This window comes from Homo sapiens, chromosome 10 (assembly GCF_000001405.40).
Source record: "Homo sapiens chromosome 10, GRCh38.p14 Primary Assembly".
NCBI classification, from domain to species: domain Eukaryota; kingdom Metazoa; phylum Chordata; class Mammalia; order Primates; family Hominidae; genus Homo; species Homo sapiens.
This window is the reverse complement of record NC_000010.11, coordinates 11,179,938-11,186,256: the sequence shown is the minus strand read 5'-3', so window position 1 is coordinate 11,186,256 and position 6,319 is coordinate 11,179,938. Positions and strand designations below refer to the sequence as shown.

At 41.4% G+C, this 6,319-nt stretch overlaps 1 protein-coding gene across 69 annotated transcripts in view, besides 2 other annotated features; it reads right to left on the bottom strand.

Annotated features, from left to right (window-relative positions):
- Window positions 1–6,319, bottom strand: part of CELF2 (CUGBP Elav-like family member 2) — an 874,126-nt gene that overhangs the window by 150,419 nt on the left and 717,388 nt on the right.
- Window positions 2,995–3,496: an enhancer, noted in NCBI's record as "NANOG hESC enhancer chr10:11224724-11225225 (GRCh37/hg19 assembly coordinates)". NCBI's record gives its function as "activates a minimal SCP1, AML or CMV promoter by ChIP-STARR-seq in naive H9 embryonic stem cells {active_cell/tissue: H9 hESC(naive)}" and the evidence as "EXISTENCE:reporter gene assay evidence [ECO:0000049][PMID:30033119]".
- Window positions 5,617–5,911: a silencer, noted in NCBI's record as "tiled region #12202; HepG2 Repressive non-DNase unmatched - State 21:Repr". NCBI's record gives its function as "represses a minimal TATA promoter and a strong SV40 promoter by Sharpr-MPRA in HepG2 cells {active_cell/tissue: HepG2}" and the evidence as "EXISTENCE:reporter gene assay evidence [ECO:0000049][PMID:27701403]".

Genomic DNA, 6,319 nt, shown 5'->3' with positions numbered 1-6,319 from the left:
CCTGGGAACTTTAAGACAAAGGGAAAAAAGAATGCAGGCACAAATTAACAGTACCAGGAGTATCAGGAGACATGACAAGTAGAACTGTCTTTATGTGTAGATTTTGAAGACATTAGAAGGATATTAAGGGATTATACACAGTTTTATGACAATAAACTTGACCACGTAGGGTAAATGGACATATTATCTGAAAGGAAAAATGCACTCAAAGAAAAATATAGAACCTAATTATTCCTATAGGTACTAAAGAAATTCAATTTGTAGTTAAAAACCTTCTTACATAGTTAACTTGAAGTCTGGGTGACTTATGTGATGAATTCTACCAAACAACTAAAGAAATAATACAACTTTATACACAATTTTCCAGGAAACTGAAGAGGAGAGAACACTTCCCAATTCATTCTATGAGATCAGGATTGCCATTATACCAAAACCAGCCAAAGAAGTTATAAACAAACTACAGAAAAATATTCTTCCCGAACACAGATGTAAAAATTCTAAACAAAATTTGAGCAAATGGAATCCAATAAAATCATTATGACCAGCCAGGCATGGTGGCTCATGCTTGTAATCCCAGTACTTTGGGAGGCTGAGGCAGGCGCATCACCTGAGGTCAGGAGTTCGAGACCAGCTTGACCAACATGGAGAAACCCCCTCTCTACTAAAAATACAAAATTAGCCAAGCATGTTGGCGCGTGGCTGTAATCCCAGCTACTCTAGAGGCTGAGGCAGGAGAATCACTTGAATCCAGGAGGCGGAGGTTGCGGGGAGCCGAGATCGTGCCATTGAACTCTAGCCTGGGTGACAAGAGTGAAACTCCATCTTGGGGGCAGTGGGTGCAGCGGGGGGATCATCATGACCAAGTAAGACTTATCCCAGCAATTCAAGGTTGGCTCAATATCCAAATCAGTCAATATAGCTGGGTGTGGTGACGTGCACCTGTAATTCCAGCACTTTGGGAGGCTAAGACAAGAGGATCACTTGAGCCCAGGAGTTCGAGGCTGCAGTGAGCTGTGACTGCGTCAGTTCACTGTAGCATGGGCAACAGAGCAAGATCCTGTCTTAAAAAAAACACACAAAAACAATGTGATTTGTCATATTTACAAACAGACAAAAAACCCGATATGATCATCTCAACAGACTCAGAAAAAAACATTAAAAAAAATCTAATATCCATTCCTGATGATAATTCTCAGCAAAACAGGAAGACAAGACAATGTCCTTGATAAAGGGCATTTGTGAAAAACCTATACATTACATCATGCTTTTCAGTGTAAAGAAAAAGTCTTCCTCTAATATCAAGAACATGATAATAATGTCTGCTCTCACTATTTCTATTCACCTCCATAGTGGACGTTTTGGCCAGTGCAAGCAGGCAAGAAAAGACAAGACTTAGATTGGAAAAGAAGTAGAACTGTCTTTATGTGCAAATGACACGACCATTTACGTAGAAAATCCAACAGACTCTTTAAAAAAGCTACTAGAATGAGTTTAGCAAGGTTGTAGGATACATAATCAATACACAAAAATCAATTATATTTCTATATGCTAGAAACAAATGATTGGAAATAGCAAATAGAATAAAATTAGTTAGAAGACCACGGAAAATATAAAACACCTAGGGATAAATCTGACTAGGGATATGCAAGGTCCTGTTCATGGCAAACCACAAAACATTTGTGAGAGAAATCAAAGAAGACCTAAAGAAGTGGAGAAATATACCACTTCATGGTTTTGAAGACTCAATATTGCTAAGATGACAAATTTCTCCCAATTGATGAACAGATCCAATGCATTTCCTATAGAAACTGTAGTAGGACTTTATTGTAAAAACTGCCCAAATGATCCTAAAATTTACGAGGAGATACAAAGAATCTAGACTAGCCAAAACAACTTTGAAAATGAGGAACGAAGTTGGAAGACTAACAGTATCTGACTTCAAGACTCGTGATAAAGTTGCAGTAACTAATGCAATGTAATACTGATGCAAAGACAGACAAATAAGATCACTGGAGCAGGTCAGACTGTCTTTAAATAAACTGACACATATACAGACAACTGATTTTTGACACATATACAAAAGCAATCAGTGGAGAAAGGACAAATAGTGCTGGAACAATTGAATATCCACATGCAAAAAGATGAACTTCAATAAATAATTCATGCTGAATATAAAAATTAACTCAAAATAGATCAAAGACTAAAATGTAAAGCCTAAACCTGTAACACTTCTAGAAGAAAATATAGAAAAAACCTTTATGACCTTGGGTTAGGTTTTCTTTGATATAAAACCCAAAGCACAATCAGTAAAAGAAGGAATTTATAAATAAGGCTTCACCAAAATTAGAAACTGCTTTTTAAAAAATATTAAGAGATAACAAGAAACAAACTAGCAGTAAATATTTGCAAAACGTGTATCTAGTGAAGTACTTTGATCAAAGAGCATATCCAGAACTCTCAGAACTCAACAATAAGGCAATAACCCAAGTAAAAAATGAGCAAAAGATCTGAATTGAAGATAGATATACACGAATCAAACATATCAAAAGATGCTCAGCATCGTTAGCCATCAGGCAAATTAAAATTAAGACCATAATGACATACCACTACACACAGATTAGAAGGGGTAAAATTAGGAATAGTGATTACACCAAGTGTTGGAGGGAATGTGGAGGGAATGAAACTCTCAGGTATTGCTGGTAGGAATGTAAAATGGTACAATCCCTTTAGCAAACAGGCGGTTTCTTAAGAAGTTCGATATAAACCTACTATATGATACAGCCATTCCACTCTTAAGGTGTCTAGCTGAGCGACAAAAGCACTTGTCTTTACAAATACTTGTACATGGATGTTCCCAGCAGCTTTTTGTTTAAAATATTCAGCAAATGACAACAACCCAAAGGCTCATCAAGAGGAGAGGTGATGAGCTGTGGTACCTCCATTCTATGAAACGTTACTCAGCAATCAAAAGGAATCAATGAGTGACGGGGATGAATCAGGCTGAGCAAAGGAAGCCAGATCCAAGAAAGCACATGCTGTATGGCTGCAGTTATGTAACATTCTAGGAAATGGTAACCACATACAACAGAAAGTAGGTCAGTAATTGAGGCATGGGGCAGCCAGGACAGAAGGGACTGCCAAGGTGCATGAGGAAGCTTTCAGGGGTGAGAGATGTGTTTGTTATTTTGATTGTTGTGATGGTTTCACAGGTGTATACATATGTTAAGATGTATCAAATTTTATACTTTAAGTACGTGAAGTTTGCCGCATATCAATTATGTCTCCATTGAGCTGTTGAAAAGACCCTTTGATATTCTAGGTGGCACCAAGGGTGACAACAGTAGGAATGCACAAATGGCGGTAGGAACATTAAAAAACTCAAGTTCACAGGATTTGGATGTGAAGGAAAGGAAAGGCAGCAGTCAGGAATAATGCCGAGCTTCTGAGATTGGGCGACAAGAAGGAAGACTGTTCCATTAACACAACAGGGCCAACCAAAGAGCAGATAATGTGTTTGGTTTTGGACAAGCTGTATGCTGGCAGAATGTCTAATTAAAAGGGGCAGCTTAAAACATGGGGTGGTAGGGAGAGGTGAGAGACACTAGCCTTTGGAACTTCCACTCTCATTTTCTCTTCATACCTCTTTGTTATCCTTGACTCAAATTCTTCTCTGATCCCCAAAAATAAATTTTCCTCCATGTTATAATCCAAGTCCTCAAAGGAAGAAAATCCAAGTCTGGAAGAGTTCCATTCACCTACACATGACCTTCAGGGAAGCTCTAGGATCACAACTAGGGGCAAAGTATATCATTGTCTTAGAGTTCCAAACATGCACTTGGCTAAGTGGAGTTTTCATAGCCTCATAAAAGGGTCGTATGTCTTGGCACTAAGTGAATAAAGTGATGGATGAAAACTCAAAGGAAAAGGGCAGTGTGCACTACGGGATCTAGGAAAGTAGAGAGGGATAGGACCTATGAAGTCATTTCTGTTTGCTGCCCCGCTCCCCGGTTACATCAGTCCTTGCCAGAATGGAATTGTTCCTGAGAACTGCAGTGTGGTTCTTCACACTGGAGCCAAACGAAACATCTGTAAGTCTGGCGGGGTTTCAGGTGAGCACGCTGCTCAGAGGGCTCAGAGCCCTTGCTGGCAAGAGACTCCAATGACAGAGTGAACTGTTTTTCTCCTTCCTTATTTTATTTTAAATGTCAAAGCTTTTCACACTACAGTGACACCCTAAAATGATTCTCTTACTTCCATTGCTTCAGCTGAAACAATATTTTTTCATGCTCCATGGAGTGCCCATCAGCTGATTCAAAACCAGGAATGCAACGGGGTGTTCCATGTCAACGTGCCATGAAAAGGAAAGAAGAACAAGGCAGGATACAGGCTGGTGGGAAAATAATGTCCCTTTATCTTGAATGCTTTGCATTCTCTCCATCAGGAAATGTTCTTCACTGTTTTAAGGCACCGTACTAAGTTCGATGAGGTCCTATAATGTATACCAATGGACTAAAACAGCCCCAAGGCAAGACACTTAGAGTTAGAGATGACAAATGCGTATGCAACTGCAGAATGGCACAAAGTACTGTGCACAGTGAGAGGGGCATACAGCGTCACAGGAATTTCAGCAGAGCGAGACATGACTCTGCTGGGGTGTCCAGGAGGAAGAGCCATTATGGATGCAATGGCATATGCACTGGATGCTGAAAGGCCACAACAGAAACCATCAGAACTGGGAAGAAGAAATGACACCTCTAGGTAGAGGAAATGGCAAGACTCAGGCATGGGAGCACGAAATCCAAGGAATGTTGAAGGAATAATTCAGTGTACTTGAACAAACATTAAGCACCTATTGGTTACCACACACTGTGCTAACTGGTATGAATACAGAGACATCAATGACAACTGACAGTCGAGAGGAGTATTCATTCCGAAATGAGAGAGGTAACGTCAGTTTGACAAGCACAGCAGGCAGAGAGATGTGCCCAGCTCCACGCTACAGAAACCCTGGAACCGAACAAGGACAATGTCATGGTTAAAAGTGGGGATGCTACCAACAAAATATTTAGGTTTAAATTCCATGTCTGGGCCAGGAATGTTGGCTTACCCCTGTAATCCCAGCACTTTGGGAGGCCAAGGCGGGCTGATCACTTGAGGTCAGGAGTTTGAGACCAGCCTGGCCAACATGGCAAAACCCCACCTCTACTAAAAACACAAAAATTAGCAGGGCATACTGGCAGCCACCTGTAGTCCCAGTTATTAGGGAAGCTGAGGCAGGAGAATCGCTTGAACCTGGGAGGCAGAACTTGCAGTGAGCCGAGATCGCGTCATTGCACTCCAGCCTGGGCAACAAAGCAAGACTTGGTCTTTAAATAAATAAATAAATAAACTCATTCATTCATTCATTCCATGCTGCCACATACTTAGATGTGTTACTTTGCTAAGTTTCAGTTTTCTTCTCTGTAAAATGGGCACCATAAGTAGTATAATCTCACAGGATTATTGTGAGGACACATTTTAACAAGATAATGTATAGTCAGCCCTTAGTACAGGACCTAGCGCATGGCGAGTACTCCAGAGAAATACTAGTTATTATTCTTATTGTCAATACTACCGAGAACTGATCTTCCTGTCACTGAAAGGCTCATCTGCTCGGATGGCAGGCTATACCCAGAGCTGTCACTGGGAGATAGCGTCAGCCTGGAAGGGCCCCCTTCATGTTTCCGGACTTGGGTTTCCTCATCAGGAGGAGACTGAGTACGGTGTCGGTTTTACCGAGTCCAGACACTGTTGTCACTGCTCTGCCTCCACGACCTCACTGAATCTGCTCAACGGCCCTGTTCATCCTGCAGATGAGGAAGCAGAGGCGTGGGGAAGTCAACCCTTAGTCTAGGTCACAGAAGCGGTGGTGGAGGAGGGATCCGGAGAGGCACGCAGTCTCCAAGGCCCTGTTCTCGACCACCACCCTATGCTGCCTTTTAGGTTCACCACCTTCCACTCTTGTTGCCGCTTTCTGGGAAAGTGGCATTTGATCTGGTAGCCAAAGGGTAGAAAAAAGCTAAGCAAGACATGGAGATTCACCGAAACCAGGAAACGCACAGAACCAGACATCATGGCTCAGACGGGTATGGAGTTTTACAATTTAGAAAGTCTTTCACTCTCTTTATTATGTTTTCCTCTTTGGCCCCCAGTGACTGAGGAGCACCAACAGGCTAACAGAACCTCACATTAGAAACACCTCAGCCTTATATATTTGGGGCTGCTGACAGAGAAGACTAGGGGGCTAGGAGTCCGAGTGAACATTTTTTGGTTTAGGACT